Source organism: Homo sapiens, chromosome 5 (genome assembly GCF_000001405.40).
Source record: "Homo sapiens chromosome 5, GRCh38.p14 Primary Assembly".
NCBI lineage: Eukaryota > Metazoa > Chordata > Mammalia > Primates > Hominidae > Homo > Homo sapiens.
Genome location: NC_000005.10, coordinates 109,130,455 through 109,148,344, shown reverse-complemented (window position 1 = coordinate 109,148,344; position 17,890 = coordinate 109,130,455). Strand labels below are relative to the sequence as shown.

The 17,890-nt window shown below is 35.3% G+C and overlaps 1 protein-coding gene across 17 annotated transcripts in view; it reads right to left on the bottom strand.

Annotated features, from left to right (window-relative positions):
• The window catches only part of FER (FER tyrosine kinase), a 448,945-nt gene that overhangs the window by 48,497 nt on the left and 382,558 nt on the right, over positions 1-17,890 (bottom strand). For 6 of the 17 annotated variants that reach the window (XM_011543269.3, XM_011543270.4, XM_047416938.1 and 3 more), the window contains one exon: positions 11,161-11,205. The exons of the other annotated variants lie outside the window; for them this stretch is intronic. In XM_011543269.3, the coding sequence (XP_011541571.1) occupies positions 11,161-11,205 (45 nt within the window). The remainder of the gene's footprint in view (positions 1-11,160; positions 11,206-17,890) is intronic. 17 annotated transcript variants of the gene reach the window in all.

The window sequence follows — 17,890 nt, the reverse complement described above, 5'->3', positions numbered from 1 at the left end:
CTATGAGAACCTGAAAACCAAATTTATGAGACTTATGCTTAAAGTAAAAATAAAGATGCCTCAAAAGAATCTCCTATATCTAAACTGTCAGTTTCAGTGCAGGTAACTGTATGGCATACATTTAGGCTTTAGAGCTCTTTCATGGATTAATTCCCATTCTTAATTATTCACTGGAGAGTTGGAGTTGCAGGATAATTATATCCCAGGTAAGTGAACTATTAAACAGATTATAAAATCTACATGCACCCAGTTAAGACAGATGCCCCTACTACATACTTAACCATCTATATATATATGTACAACATTTAAAAAAACCTATTAAACAAATACTTCATTGAAGAAGGAGTGACATGTAATTCAAAAATAAATACATTTTTGAGTATGGATGAAAAAATTTAATTTTTCTCTAGTTACGAAAGTGATTGGTCAATGGAAAAAAAGAACAAACTTATTTGGAACCTAACTAAAAATATCACTCAATATTTTGGTGTGTTTCACTAGTATTTCTCTGTCTCTGTCTCTCTCTCTCTCTCTCTCTCTCTCTATATATATATATATATATATGTATGTGTGTGTGTGTGTTCTCTTTGTATAGAACATACATGTTTGCATGTTTGTATGCACTGATACTTTTCAAAAAGTTACATCATAGATTCTAACATCTGGCCTGCCTTTTTCAGCTAGAAATATAGTGTGAATATTTTCTGCCAACAAATTTTCTTATGGCACAGGATTTATAATGGCAGCATTTGTATTCTACAAATGGGCATACTATTGTTTATAGAACTAATACTTGATTGTTGGATATTTTATCTTTTCAGGATTTAATTTTTTTCTTTTTTTGAAAACTATCATGAATGATGTTGCATGTCTGTAGTCTTTCTGCATGCCTGTAATTTCACAGAATATATTCCTAGACATAAAACAGCTGGGATAAAGTAAAGGCAAATTTGCATGGTTTTAGAAATATATTTCTAACTTACCGCCCAAAGGGGTTGTGCAATTTACACCCCCACTGCCGGCATATGCATGTCTGTTTTCCCATATCCTTATTCACATCGATTCATAGCATTCTTTTAAATTCTTGCCAATTTGCAGTACACAAGTATCTTATTTATTTTTATTCTGTATTTCTTTAATGACTATTCAATTTTAACATTTTTTAAATGTTAATTTTTTGTATATTAATAAGTTCAATTTGTTTTCAATTTTTTTTTGAGAAGTCTGAGTAATCACTTTTCTGTGACTTGCCTTTCATCTCCTTTACCCATTTTTCCATTCAGTTGTTTATTTATAATCTCTATGAATGGAAGTGGTCACTTATCACATATATTCTGTATTCCTCAACATTTTTGCCTCCATTTATTAATGCTTTAAAAAATACATTGTCTCTTAAATATTCCCTTATCATATTACTAAATCTTCTGATAGATTTCTAAGGCTCTTCTCTATTATTATTTTTTTAAATCTCCTTTGGATTTTCTCCCAGTCCATCAGGTCTGAGGTAATGACGCATACAACATAGCAAAGTCAAGTCTTGCCAATGCCATACTTACCATATGGAGCAACATATTAACCTCTGTGGTTCATTCTGTCAGTACTGCATCTCTGGCATATGGATATTTAAATCATTCAAATCGATGTGTCACTTTGGGGAAGAACTTTGTCTTTTGTGAGGCACACATAATTATACGATATATATGATGTCTTATAGGTACTTCATCCATGTCATGTCATACATGTCATATATGTTCATAATTTAAAAATTTTGCCATACAAGGAAATGTTACTGCATGTAGAAATAAACAAGACAGCTAAAACAATTATAATAATAACAGAGGAAATGTGGATAAATATGGCTAGAAGCATGTAAAAGATTAGTAGTTAATAATAATACTTGAGTCAGTAACTTTGGAATTTAGATATTTAACCTCTTTAACGCCAGCTGGATGAGGGGATTTCTACTTGTGCTCCCAAGGGGAGAAAGAGCTGGACCTGGTTCTCCACTTCACTGGTAAACAAATTCAAAAACACTAGAAAAGTGCTACCCAAGATATATATATATATATATATATATATATATATATATATTAGATAGATTATATATATATTAGATAGATAATATATATATATAAAATAGATAGATTATATATATATGTATTTTTTTGCTGCAAAATTCTGTAATTCTATCAGTCCCCCTCTCTGTTGTTTAAATTCAGACAATTAAAATGGAAAACTATATTTTATAAATTATCTTAATTTCATTGAGAAATCTCTACATTATATAGTTTTTTATTGGTTGCCTGGTATGTCATCTGTACGTATCTTAAAAACTGAATACCATAAGATGTAAATCACCTAAGTTTCTATCTCTATATTATTCATGCAAAATTCTGGGAGATTATTGATTTTTTTTTTAAATAATAACATACAGCTTATAAATTGTAAGATATATTTTCTAGGCAGCCAAATAGCTTCAATATTCAGCACATCTACTCAAGGCCTTAAAAAAAGCAAGTAGAAACACATTAGCATATATTTCCTGAGAAATGTAACATCAATGTGACAATAATAAAGTTCCAATAATAACATTCTATATGCATACAGCCTCCCTTCCACAAATCTGAAGCTTCCTGAATGATCTCAGAAAATGTTTTACCACACTTGAATAAAGATCTTCTTTTTAAAAAACATTTCTTTATTTTTGAATGTTAGATCTTGCTGGCAATCAAGATGCCTCCTAGTCTGCCTCCATCCAAAGATACTGCTTGATGCCAAGCAATGCAAAGCACAGAGTAATTTAAACAGAGGGGAGAAAAGTTGCGGGGGTTGGGGGAGCAAATTATTTACAACTCAGGCAAGAAAAAAATTGTAAAGAAAATATAAAACACTGAAGCACATAATATGTAGGTAAATTTAACTTCATAAAATGATATGAGAAAGTTTCTGTAATCATCCTTTTCCTTCCTCATGTTGTTGTAAAGCTTAGCAAAGAAGATGACTGTGCTATTTTGAAGTCTGGAGATTTCAAAGAGAGCATTTTCTTTGGGAATAGAGTCACTTTCTCTGCTTTGGCTGTGCAAGTCCAAGTGAGAGTCCCTTGTTCTTCAGGACATACTGGGTGAAGTCAGTGACTTTATGCATGTGCAACATTGGAGCTATCAGAAAGTTTACCAGGAAGGGAGAGAGGGAGCTTTGCTAGGCAAAGCTCTCTATAGCTGAGTTTGCCATGCATTATTAACACAAAGGCATAACTCTTAATTTGAAACATAACAATAAAGCTTAACTACATTTTCATAAAAAAAAAAACAACTAAAGAAATGAAACAATCCTGGTCAGATTTTTTTGACCTTGAAAAACAGAGAAAGGAGATTTGAAGGAGAAAAGTGGCACCACATATCTCTTCATAGCTTGAAGATTCTTCATAGATGGGAGGAGAAACTGTAACAAATTAAATACCACATTTATTCTCATGTTCTCCAATTTACTTGATTTGGAATTAGAATCAATACAAAAGATATTTGTATTTGTCCTCATATCTCCTAAGGTTCCTTTCTTGCTCCGAGATCCAAAAACCTCTTAAATGCTTTGGGTCCTAGGTCCATCCAAACAACATTTGGTAACATCTCTCTGGCCCTTAGCTACTCCAAGAATGGAGGGAAACTGGCTAGGTCCTGAAAAGGCCCTTGTGTTCTGGTTAGCTAAGTGTAGGAAAATCAAACCAAACCAAAGAAAACCCCAAAACAAGCCAAATGCACATTTCAGATATTCTCACTTTTAAAGATCGGAATGAGAATCAGATATAGGTGTATGTAGATACCATCTGATATACATAGATAATTGGAAAAGGCCATCTAGGTAAATGTAGATAACTAGAATTAGCATGCTACGGAGTGCAGGGCTCTGAGAGGATGCACTGTAATCTTGATTTCCATAGGAAGACTCAGATCTCAAGGAAGCCAGAACTCCAAGGCTGGCCAAGGACATCACCAATCCAGAATGCACGTTCACTGACTCCCAGTTGGTACTTGTTAAATATCTCCCACACAGCCTCTGAGATATAAGGAGCCTCTCTGATATCCAATTTATAAAATTAATCAATTTCTTGTTTACTTTTAAAAAAACCTATTGGTAAAAATGGTAAGAGGAAGAATATGAAGGATAAAATGAGCAGGGAAGTCGGGATTCAGAGTCCAGAGAGCTCTCTACCTTCAGCTATCTGAAACACCTTCACCAGGAAAATGGTTCCAAATCATGCTTTTGTGGTGAGTAATGGATTTGACATTTACATTATGGAAACACAGCAATAAACAAAATAAATTCCTTTCCTCATGGAGCTTAGACATTGGTGGCAAGAGCCAGTGTGTTAATGGCAATCAAGATGCCTCCTAGTCTGCCTCTATCCAAAGATACTGCTTGAAACTGAAAAACACTAGAAAGGTGCTGACCCCAAGATAGATATATATATATTTTATATAAATATATATATATTTTGCTGCAAAATTCTGTAATTCTTAGAAATTACACCTCTAGTCCCAGCTTGTAGGGAGACTGAAGTGGGAGGATAGCTTGAGCCTAGGAGTTCGAATCCAGCCTGGGCCACACAGCAAGACTTTCAAAAAAAAACAAAACAAAACAAAACAAAAAGATTGGTGGAAGACAAAAAATAAACAAGTAAATAAGTGGTACAATTTCTGATAGTTATATCTGTTTTTAGAAAAAATAGAGGAGGTTCGGGGACAGAGTATAATGGAGGTGGGGTGGAGACTATTTTCATGGGGTTCACGGATAAGGCCTCTGAGGAAGTGATGTCTGAAAAAGGGAGGAGATCTCTGAATTCTGAAATGTAAGTTACAGTTAGGCTGATAGAAAGGTCTGACATGAAAAACAGGTCGAGTGAAACAAAAACTTACACTGGATCCTAGTTAGGGTTCTGTTTTCTCCCAAATGTTTTTGCTTGTCCTTTCTTTAACTCAATACTCAGAGGCTGATTAGACAATCTATCTTTTAGGTTGGCAACAAGACAAGTAAATTTATGTGTCTAGAGTCAAGGACTTTATGGCATACAGTAAACTCTTTTCTCTGTGTAAGTGGATTGGGCTAGAGGAGTGAAGTATCTTGTTTCCTGATATAACTCTTCCTGATGCTCCCAAGATTGCTGCAAATGCTGACTCTGACTGTCCATGTTACTTAAAGGAATGACAGAGCTGCTAGCATTTTTCACTGACCCTGAACTCCTTCTTAATTAAACAGGAACATGTGACTCAACATAGATGGGTCCTTGCCTAAATTAAAGTGGCCAGAAGTGGTGCAAGGTTGCTGCTTTTTCCACAAAATAATCACATCTCATCTTCAGTGACAGGATAAAAAAGCGAAGACCCATTTTTCACTGGCTGACCATCAATCTCCCTAACATTGAAGAGGTAAAATTTTTAGGCTTCCTCAGTATCGTCTACTAGCTACAATCTACAATTCTAATACTCTGCATGCCTCACATTTTAATATAAAACACAACCTTCCACAGAAGAAGGAGTTCAATGCTAAAATATATACTGACTTGTCACTGAGAGGTCTGCTGTTTCCATTTTTTCTATTTCTATGTCTTTTTTTCTGTTTCTTTGTTTGTCCTCTTCTGTTAGTCAAATTTGCCTTTGATGCCTTTGGCCAAATCTCCCTCCAGAGTTCCTGCAAACCATACCATATACTGTATATGCTCTCTCTATAAATATTTACTTTGGATCCGTGGTACCTAGCACAGAGTCTGTCGTACAGTGGTTGCTTAATAAATGTTCCTCAAAAGTATGCCTTTCTTTTCACTTCCCTCAAGCATGGCTCTTGTTATCTTAATTATAAAAATAAGTTTTATAGTCCCTAGAATCCTACCTCTTTGATGAAAATTTTCCAGATGGAGCCTGCCTGTTTGTATATTTCCTACACCTGTTCAGTGGCTCACCATCAAACAATACATCCATCATTGTCATTTATATAATAAAAACATTAGAGAAGGGAATTAGGGTCAGATTATTAGAATTAAGCAAAGGAAGTGGAACTGAGTTTTCAAATGTTCTAATATCGACAACTTAATTATTATTTTTAAATCTCTTTGTAACTCACATTAAAAGCAATTCTCAGAAAACTCCCATTGTGTAAATAATAGAACATGAACAGGTTTTTATGGCAGTCTCTGTATCCTCCTTCCCACTCTATCTTCACCCTCTTAAATGAGATTATGAATGCCTTTTCTTCCTGAGCCCAAAGTTACTATGTGAAGGGAGTTGATAATGCTCACGGAAAATTCAGTGGTACTAACAAACCAGGAAAAACGGACCTTGGAATCCACACTCTGGTGGCCACACTGGGAAGAACAGGCCATGAAGTCCAAGGCCTCTCCCACTTGATGTGTCTGTAGGCTTTTATGCTGGTGGTTTGAAAACCACAATAAACCAGGCAAACTGTTCTGAAACCTACACTCCATTGGCATAGCAAATAGAATTGGAAGTTTGGTAGTTATATTATTGGTTACAAATATACAGTATCTCTCTCTGCAGGAGGATTACATATCTCCACCACACTGAATGCAGGCATGGCTGTGTAACTTGACTTAGTCAGTGAAATTTGAGCAGAAGTGATGACTGTTACTTCTAGGAAGTAGCTTTCAGAGCCTGCGCACAGCTTGGCAAGTTCTCTGCCTCTATGATTGTGGAAGTAACTGACTCTCCATCTTCCAGTGTCCCTAAGTCGCTACTGTGCCCAGAGCTCCTTTTCTGACACATGGTAGCAAGAAATAAACTTAGCTGTGTTTAAGCTCCTAACATTTTCATGTTGTTTGTTACTACATCTATCTGTGTTAGCCTAACTGATACAGAAGTCAAAACTTTTCTAGCTTCTGTGGTGGCTGGAATATGAGGGCCATTTGCAGTTAGTCTGCAGTACCACCTGTGGCTTTTCAGTTTAGTGAACCACCAATCAAGCCCAATGCAGAGGAAAGAAAGAATGCTGCCTTTATCTTCAAGTATTTTATCATAACTTAAAGCTCTTGTGAGCTTTTCTTATTCCTAATATTTCAGATATTCATGATAAAATAAAATATTGTTAACATGGCTTATAAAAAATTGAGAAAGGAAGTTGAATTTATATTTTCAAAAAAGGAAATCTTTGTTTTCTCCTGAAAAAGGCCCTCCCTAGTATTCTGTAGAGTTCTTAACATTAGGTATACAAGGTAAGAGGGGCCACCTGTACGCCCTCTGAAGGTGCTGACCTGGTTAGGCCTCCATTAAGTCTTATACTTGAATAAAGACCTCAGAGCTGCTCACATGTTCCTACAAGTTTTCTAAGTCTCTGAACATGGTATGCTCGAGATATGGAAGAATAGGAGCTACTGTGGAATATGGGTCCAGAATTTTACCTTGGAAGACTTCTCAATGGACTCTGGTACTTTGTATATTGGGGGCAATAATGACTTATGAGGGGACTGTTCTTGCAACTTCACTTAAATGATAAAGGATTTTTATGTCTGTCACATAACAATCTCTTCCCTCCCAATTCATTATGATTTAAATATACTCCACCCTATTATCAGATGGCTCAGACTATGAAAGGCATTTTTGTGTATTAATAATGTCTCCAGTTACAAGGCGTAAGGCTAAAAATTTTGCTATCATTAGCAGCATTACCAAAGGAAAAAGCATTTGAAGTCCAAGACTTTCATAAGGGTAGCATAAAACACTGAAATCATTTTAACAGGCTTTTGTATTTAGTAATTTTTTTTCTTTCTTGCTTCCTTAAAAGTCATTAATAGCTTTCTGATGACAATTTTAAAAAGCCACATTTTCTAGCTACATAGGTCTTTCCTAATTTTGTTTTTCTATTTCACGGGCTCATAGCAACACACCACTGATCATACTCTTACAAATGATAGCCAAACTTTTTTTCCATGGAATGCAGATGAAAAACTTGGCCAATAAGAGCACAAGATGTACTACCTTATAAGCAATGCTGTGGTTAGATGCCAATTCAAGATGCTGTTAATGGTGCTTCAGAAAGGATATGTTTTGTACTGTTTCTTTATTTGTATTTTAGATATGATTTTAGTTTAGTACAGGTAAAATTCTGTTATACTGGAATGTATTCTTTTCCATTTAAAGCTTTATTTGAATTAAGAGCCACTCAAATAATCAATTTTTAATATAATAAGCATATGTTTTTTGTGTGCACAGAATTTTAAAAAGGCTTAATTTGCTAGTAGAAAAAACTAAATACTTTGTTCACTGTAATATTTCACATTATACAAGGTAGAATTGTTTGTTTACTAGGCACTAAAGATATTCGCAATTTGAGCTTTTTTGGGAATCACAGGAAAATGCTTTGGCTTTTATTTCTGATATGGTTCAATAACATACTTGCCAGTCAGTAATTGATAGCAGTATACTGTGTTTAATTCTATTTTTTTTTATTGCAATCCATCTAGCACGGTGTAGATCCTGTCAGCTAACTGGCTGCCCATCTTCCTAACCAATACTTACTTCAGCCAATGTAAAATTGAGATGTTTTCAATCAATTCTTATTCCCAGATTGATTCATCAAAATATTAAGCATTAGGGCATGTCAGCAAAATGTGTGTTCCCATATTAACACATCATATCCAGAAGAAAACTGGGGGTTTGCTTTCATAACAGGGGATATAGTAACTACAATTTTCTGCTGACTTGCAGAAAACCTCTAAATCTTAATGGGCAAAAAAGTGAAACAAAAACCAGTCCTGACATCTGAAAATGAAGTCATAGTCAAACTATATTTTCTTAAAAATGCTCTCTTTTAGCATTTTTTCTTAAAAACTGCTATCTTTTAGCAATGTCCCTAGGTTATAAAGAAGGAGAAGTAGCAGGAGAATGGCTTGGAACCGGGAAGTGGAGCTTGCAGTGAGCCGAGATCGCACCACTGCACTCCAGCCTGGGCAACAGAGCGAGACTCTGCCTCAAAAAAAAAAAAAAAAAAGAAAGAAAGAAGGAGAAGTAAAGACATAGGCCCTGCCTTTTAGGGGTACAGGGTGGGGGTGGGAATCTTCTGCAGGGTTGACAGCAAGACAGACTCAGGAAGGAGTCTGTGGAAGACAAGGAAGTGATTTTGATAGACAATATTAAAGAAAAGACCTGAGACTCCTATATACCATCCTTGAATCACTTAGCTCCGCTGTGTTCCTTTTGAGCCTCTCTCAATGTTATACCCTCCACCCCATATTTCAACTAGACTGTTCTGGCTTTCTCTTCCTAGATGTCCTACAGGTACCTCAAATTCAACAAGTCCAAAAGCAAATGTCAAATCTTTGTTCCCTCTGAAACCTGCTCTTAACCCTGTGCCCTATGTCTTAATTCATAGATTGCCATGGGCCCTCTACTTCTGTTAGAAATGTACTCTCAATATCTTCTTGGATTCTCCCCTCTCCTTTACCCTGTCATATCAAGAATTTGTATTTATTCTATTTCTGAAAATGTTTTTGAATTCAACTATTCAACCCCTTCCTTGGCACTCATACTGCACGTGACATAGTTCAAACCCTTATCATCTCTTTCTGGAATAGCTGTAATAGTCTCCTAACTGCTTCGAGAGGGTAAGTGACTTCACAGCCCTCAATCTGTGAAACATCAGATGGAAACACAAGGATAGCTGACTGATATTAAAATAGAGTGAGAGGAACTAGAGAAATCAAGAATTTTTGAGGCAATAACATTTCTTCAAACAAACAAAAATAACCCAGAAGGGGTTGGGGAGAGTAACTAAGTCTAAGGCCTTTAGCTGACATTAAGGTCTTGAATTTTTCTTTTATATTTTAAACTATTTAATTGACAAGGGTGAATATATCCAAGGTGTATAACACGATGATTGGATATATGTATATACTACATAATGATTATCACAAATTAACACACATATCACCACCCATGCTGTACCTTGGATTCCCAGAAACTGTTCATCTTATAACTCAAAGTTTGTGTCCTTTGACTAACATATTCCCATTTCCCCTACCCCTGAATTTCTCTTCTAACATCTTTTTACTGTCTTTGATAATTCCCACTACAAAAAAAATAAGATAATAATATGAATTATGAAACATCCTGAACACTGGCAAGTATCCCTTGGTAATCTGAAGAAACATTTTCCTTTTTTGCTGAATGGAGAGAGTAATTCTTCATCCTCTTTCTCCCACCCTCCTTTTCCTGTACATGCTTTGTTCCAGCCCTACATATGGCATTCTCTCCTATAGTTCCTGAAGCATGAGTCTCTTTAGTTCCGATATGACAGAAAGACTTCAGGCTTGAGCTGCAATGCAGGAAACTGGGAAGACCAAACCAGTGCATTAGTTAAAGACTAGAGCTAGAGAGTAGGCCCAGTACATCTTGCGGGAGAAAATAGGCCAGGATAGCATTCCCAAGTTAAATCAAGACACTAGCTAATGGGTCTGGGTAAGTCCATAAGAAAAAGATTAGAATTAACCATGGCAGAAACCTCAAGCTCTGAAGATTGGAGTGGGACTGAAAATTGGTTTTGATGTCCTTTATTGCTCCTTTTCTCACTGGGTTGAAGCCACAGGGGTACTACAAAAAGGTATCCATCATTTATGGGCCTTTTGCCAGATTCAGTCTCTTACTAACACCAACCCGCCTATCTTTCTACCTTCGTTTGTGGCTCCTTTCCATCAGACATGAGTTCTTTCTCTTTCTGGTACCTGTGCATGGGAGCTTGTTAGATCACTTTGTAATTTATGAGCTAGATTTCCCCTTGGATACTATCTTGAGTTCCCCCCTAGGACTTTATTCTCTACAATTGGAAGCCAGTCTTGCCCTACTTCTTATAGTTCCCCAAGTTTCTAAAATCCAGACCAAGGTTAGTGCCTTAGCACAGTCTTTGGTGATATGTGAATAGAGAAAAACAGGCCTGTCGGGAAAGCTGGTTAGGAACAAACATGGCAGAACTATACAGCTTTAGTAAACCCTAAGGGAGAGTCAATGACTGCATGGTATGTGGACCCTCTGATTGGTACATAGTTGAAGAAGAGACAGAGCAGCCTCTTGTCCATCCTTTTTTCTTCTGGAAACCAAGGGTAAAGTCTTACAGTAGGATCTAAGATTTTGCTGTGTAGAAAAAAATCCTTTCATGACTTACCCTAGGTTGGATGTTTCCTTCATCTCCCCCTTTCCTTCACAGAGCCTAATGAACAGATGAGGTAACCAGTTTATAAAAGCCACTGACATCAAGACACAACGAAAAATATTTCTTAAGTAAACTAAGAGACTTTGGGAAATGCTATTTTAACGCACAGCACTAGTTTATACAGACAAGTTGTATAGCCTGTATTATCTGAATGTTACATTAGGATAAGGCTTCTTTGCTTCAAATTGATGATATCAAAATTGCTTTTACACCAATAAAAAATACTTCAGGTTACCTGAGTAATTATCACAGAGTTGGGAATTTACTTGTTTTATACAAATGCCATAGTGGTTAAAGCTTGGACTAGAGACTCATGTGTCTCCAGTATTAGCTAGTATTAATAAGATTTTGATTCATAGAATTTATAAATGTGAAGAGGTTTTGCATGGTAGTGAAAAAAAAAGCCTAGATCTGAAGGTAGAAAACCTTGAATGAAGCTCTGAAAACACATGTATCTTCACTAAATCTATGTTCTTTAATCTATAAAATGGTGATAATTACCTCACTAGGCTACTGTGAAGATCAAATGAAAATCTGTATATGAAAATAATTTGTAAGCTATAACTAGCTAAAAAAATGTAGTTCCTATCATTATTCTCAAGATTGTCTTTCTAAGCAGTACAGATTAAAGAATAACTGTGAGAAATATGAAATTACTTTTATATGATATTTATGTGCTACCCATACTTGGAGACATTTCTAAAACATAAAACCAGAAAGGACTCAATTAAAACACGATTTTTTATATATGTATTCTAACTATTTAAAAATTCTCTTATGCTTTAAGTTATCTCCTGTTCAATCCTTTTTTTATTGTTTTTATTTTATTTTTATTTTTTATTTTTAGACGGGGTCTAGTTCTGTCACCCAGGCTGGAGTACAGTGGCGTGATCTCAGCTCATTGCAACCTCTGCCTCCTGGCTTCAAGTGATTCTCCCACCTCAGCCTCCCAAGTAGGGTTCAAGTGATTCTCTCACCTCAGACTCCCAAGTAGCTGGGATTACAGGTGAGTGCCACTACGCTCGACTACTTTTTGTATTTTTAGTAAAAACAGGGTTTCGCCATGTTGCCCAGGCTGGTCTCAAACTCCAGACCTCAAGTTAACCAACTGCCTTGGCCTCCCAAAGTGCTGGGATTACAGGCATGAGCCACTGTGCCTGGCTCAATCTTATAGCAGTATATGCTTTATGGGTAGACCTGGGATGGCCCGGGCCAAGCAGAAGGAAGTAAGGTCATACAGAAAAGCTTTACAAAGAGTTGCTTTTGCTTTCTTTTCTGTTTTTGAGCGCTGGTTATTAGAACTTCACCTTATAGTAGCAGAAATCACCAGAAACAGAGAAGTGTCAGCCAAAGGCAACTGGACTGGTAAAGTCAAAGGAATAAGGTCAAAGGGTAAGGAATCAGGCCAATTTACAAAGAAATGGGAATAAGACAGGCTTAGAGTGGGAGTCCTGGATTACTGGATAATAGTGGTCCTTGTTTTTAGAGAGTTTTGGTGAGTTGGGGAGGCTATAGTCTATTGCCCCCAAAAGTCTTGTTTCCCTTGTTCAAACCCTTTCCAGGGTTCCATCTGTATTTATAATACCCAAATTCTTCTGCATGACATTAGGTTGAACCATTTGAAATTACCAATATGTAACCATTGCGACTTGCAAAAATGTCAGTTACATATGTCTAATTAAATACAAAAAGCCCCACACTATTAAGAGCGTAAACTTGGAGCCAGACTGCCTGGGTTCAAAAGCTGGTTCTGCCCTAAGTCACTTATATGATCTGGAGAAAATCACTTAACCTCTCTGTACTTCAGTTTCCTCATCTGTAAAAATGGAAGAATAATAATTGTACATCCTTCAAGGATTTTGTGAGGATTAAGTGAACGAATATACATAAGGTGCCTAAAACTGTGTGGTACAGTAAATGCTGAATAAATGTTACCTACCATTATTATCATCCCTCCAGCTTTATCTCCAACCATTTCCCCACCTGTCTTGACTTTGTGTTCCACAGGTATCAACAATGTATCATTTCTTGAACATCTAATGTAGATAATTCCATTTCTGCTTAGTATGCTCCTTCCTATCTTTCTTTACCTGGGTCATTCAGCAATGCTTTTCTTGAATATTGATTATTATACTAGGTTTTAAAGAAATATTGGTGAACAAAATATACACGGTTTCTGCCCTTACGAAGATCACAATCTCATGGGAGACACATCTGCTGTTTAAAGACTGTTGGTTACTACTCATTTGGACAAAGACTCTTTGCCTTAGCCATGTCCCCTACAAAGCTATCCTAGGCAGAGTGAATCATTCTTCCTATGTATTAATCATGTTTCTAGGAACATACTTTTATAGTATGAGTGCACTTGTTTCAATTATGCATTTACATGCTGTTCCTGCTTCCAAAGCAGATTGTGAACTCATCCAGGAGAGAGACTATATATCCCTCTTCTCAGTGGTTTTAGTGTCGAGCAGAGTTCCTTGGCCGAACTGCTCTTAATGGAAGCACAATCAGTCACTAGCTGGTTGTAGTGGCCAACCAATTACCCAAGTTAAATCTGTGTGGGAGCCACCTTTCAAACTTAAAAGAACAAAATCTAGTTTTAATTGCTTGTTTAGGACAGGCCTCTAAAGCAGCTGGGGTGGAAGGAGTATAATCATATCAGTATGCTATTTAAAAATAATTTTTAATAAATGACAAAGAAAAACCTTAAGATTATAAAACCTCTTGATGTTACATTTCTATTTCACCCTTTTAATTTTGATAAATACTGTAAAGGAAATTAAATTTATCTTTAAAATTTGAAACTTTATGTTTTATATAAAACTCTAACATTGACTGGGATATTTCCTGTTCTGTGTTTAGTTTTTAAAGCACAGCAGACTAATCAAGTCACAAAATATTACATAGTATGGAACTTTTCTTTGGGTATTCGAGCTTTTATTATACCAACACAATGGAATATTTTTAATATTCATTTACTTTTTCATGCTTCAACTTCACAGGAAAATGAAATCAATACAGGAAACATTCTTTTATCCTTTCAAGTAAGAGAAATAAGATACTTAGGAACTAATGTATTTCTTTAAAAATAGAAAAATTATTTATCTATCATCACAACTTAGGAAGAGAGAAAAATTATTCCTGATGTCTTAGTCAAACCCTTCAGCTATCGTCAATAATTAAGGATACAATTATTAATCAGAGGTAAAAAATAACATCTGTGATTAAAATGCTAGTCTTTAAGAACAAATTTTGGAGTTGAAATATATTTTTAATAACTATCAGCAACATTTGATGCAATCTTTTACACCAAATTTTGTTTATAGGCTTTAAAAGAATGCTGGAAATGGCAGACACTAAAGAGAAACTAGTTGACTCATGGGAAATACATAGAATATAGTTTTGTTACATAAATTTGGATTTAGGGAACAATTATCACATAAATGGAGAAGATACAGATAACAAATTTTTCTTGACATGGTCTTGCTTCAACTTTCAATTTTTCAAATAGTCAAATGTGCTTTCTTTTTTATCCCAGAGATACAGGTAACTGTTTTTAAAACCTTGATAATTATGCAGTGCCTTATAAAATTTCTGCCATTTAAAACTGTGAATAAACAAATATTTTTAAAAATATTGCCTTTACTAACCTTTTTAAATTTTTCAAGGAAACCAGCCAAATTCATCATACTATTATCATTTATAAATATTTAGAAATAAGTCCTGAAATAGCTAACAGAGTAATTTTGGCTGTTACTTTACTTGTTTTTGCTGCTGCTGCAAGTTGAATTTTAATAGTTCAGACAAAACTTTTCTGTTTTTCTGTAAGTCACATTATCAAATTTTCTAGCATTGTTTGCATATCTTCATGATAGTGTTTCTCTCCTCTAAAAGGAACACTTTCTGAAATGAAAGCCAGGAACTTATTGACTGACTTATCTCCTACAGTCACTTTCAAACTTATCAATTTATGATATGCACTTTATCAAGCTAGATAACCCTCTGCCCAAGAACATACTAACATTTACTTTCCAATAAAACCGAAAGTTACAGTATGACAAAAATCCCAACTTAAATACTATGAACATCTTCTACAATGACTTATACATGTTAGGAATCATTTTGGAAACTACATATGAGGACACATGCTTTGGTTATGCAGCAACAGGCTTCCCTCCACACAGCACCCTTTCTATCTGCCCACAGCTCTTCTCTCAACTGCTGTACATTCAGTCTCTGCTCCTGATTTGTTCTTTATTTCAGTTCTCTACTAAGAGGAGCCTGAAGTCTATCCTCAATTCCCATCAGTTGGTTTGGGCTCAGATGATGTGACAGTCCCTTTTCACCAGGTGCTGCCATCTGGGCTATATTCCAAATTGTCAGCATTCTTTTTCAGTCAGTATACCACCCATCCTCCAAACCTCTACCCAGAGATCTGTATTCCCCATAGATTGTCTGAGGCCTCTTGGACATCAACATGAACTTGAACTGGACTAAAGGGTACCTGTTTCCTCAGACACTAGGCATTAGATTTTGGCCTGATGGTCTCCTGTCCTGGGATCTAGGCCTTTTAACAGTCAAAGTAGAGCAGACCTTCCTTCCCTGCCTCCACCTGTTTCTAGCACACTCTTCTCCCATCCTCACAGCAGAACCTGCTGGGGTTGAAGTTCTAAGTCTAAATTTCACTAGAAAGACTATAATGAAGGAATTTTTGTTTTGTTCACTGATGCATCCCAAGTTCCTAGAATAGCTCCTGCCACATAGTAAGCACTCAATAGATTAAATGAATAAATAAACTGAATGCCTTAGCTGTATTTTAATTTTAGTTGCCCCTTTTCAGGAATTTCCTCTTTCTTATATTTTTCTTATGGAAAAAGATTGAGAAATCACAGCCCATAATATCAGATGTGATATTTGGCTTAGTACCGGTTGCCTATTTTGGTTTTATTTTTGGGAATTGGGTAATTTTTAAGTTTGTGAAGATGCCCAGCATTTAGATCCCAATGCCGACAACAAAGTATTTGGTTGTTTCTTTAGAAAAGATAATAATATTGATGATAATAAAAGTAACTGCTTGTTGCATATTTACTGTAGACACATACTTTAGGTACATTTATCTCATATAATTCTTGCAACAACTTTATGAGATGGGTAACATATAGATGAGATTGAGAAGATGCTGGACAAGTAGCAAAGCCTGAATTTTAACTGGATCTGTCTGACAGCAAAGCGGTTTTAATTTACATGTCTGGCTACTGTAACAAGGAGTATGCATGATACTAACATGGCTAAACAATGATTCCTAGGCCCTTAACCTAATAACAAAACTATTAGCTAAGAGCACATCAGAAAACAAATATGGATTATTTTCTGTTCTTAGCAACAAATACCATAATGGCATATGATGGCTGCTCAGTTACTATTACTGACAAACTAAAAGCACTCATCAGCATTATTTATAACATCAGTTATGTGGGGAAAAGATATCTCACACACCCAAAAAATAAATACATTACTGATCTCATCTTTCCTATTAGAAGAAAAATTGAAATATTAAAAGAAAAATTGAAATAATGTAAATGTTAAAATTAATGTTCTACATTTTAGATAAAGAAAGCTTAAGGTAATTATCATAACTAATATTATTAATGCTAAAGCTCATTATATGATTAATATTAACCAACTATTGTCTGTCTCCACTGAAGATCACAGGGGAAAAAATCTTATGCTACAGCAAAGGATTATTAAGATTGACAGGGAAGAACTCAACAGCTGTAAAATTTATTCAACAAAGAACAAGGTTGTATTAAGGAAGGCTGATAAATCTCTAATCCTTAGAGATCTTTAAAAATAAAATCAGCAATCAGCCATATTCGATGGCTTAATCTAAAGCTCAAATAAATGAACAGTTGAGGTCTTTCAATTTCTACTGCTAAATGCTAAATAATCCTACAATTTTGAACTTGTGAGACTTAATGTGAAATATCTCAAGAGATGATTTACCAGAAAAAAGTTCTTTGAAGTAAAAAATCAGTTTCTCTCTTCTCTAACTTCCTTGCGACAAACATATATTGAGTGTCTTCTATGTCAGAGATATAAAGCTGAATAAAACATGGTTACTATGTTGAAGAGCACACAATTTAAGAGATGAGTATATAAATGAAAAGTATGAAGTATAAAACAGCAAGTGATATCACAGTTAGAAACTGCAAATAAACTTGTTTGGGGAAGCAAATTCAAATATTAAAATGTTTATTAAATTCCAGGCACTGTATTAGGCACTGGAGTAAAAAGGATTCCCTTGTCCTCACAGAGCTTACAGTCTAAGGCTGTGCTGTTTGGTATGGCAGCCACTAGCCACATATGATTGCTGAACAGCTGAAACATAGCTAGTCCAACTGAGATGTGCATAAGTAAAAAATACACACCAGATTTTGAAAATTTCTATGACAAAACAACGTAAAATTTATCAACAGGCAGCAGGTGGTCAGAAAAAAAAACGTAAAATACCTCATTAACAAATTTCACACTAATTGCATGTTAAAATGATAAATTTTTCATGTATCTGTATTGAGTTATTATTTAAACTAATTTCATCTGTTTATTTTTATATCATTTTATTTTGTTTCTGTTTATATTTTTAATGTGGCTACTAAAAATTTTAAAATTACATATGTAG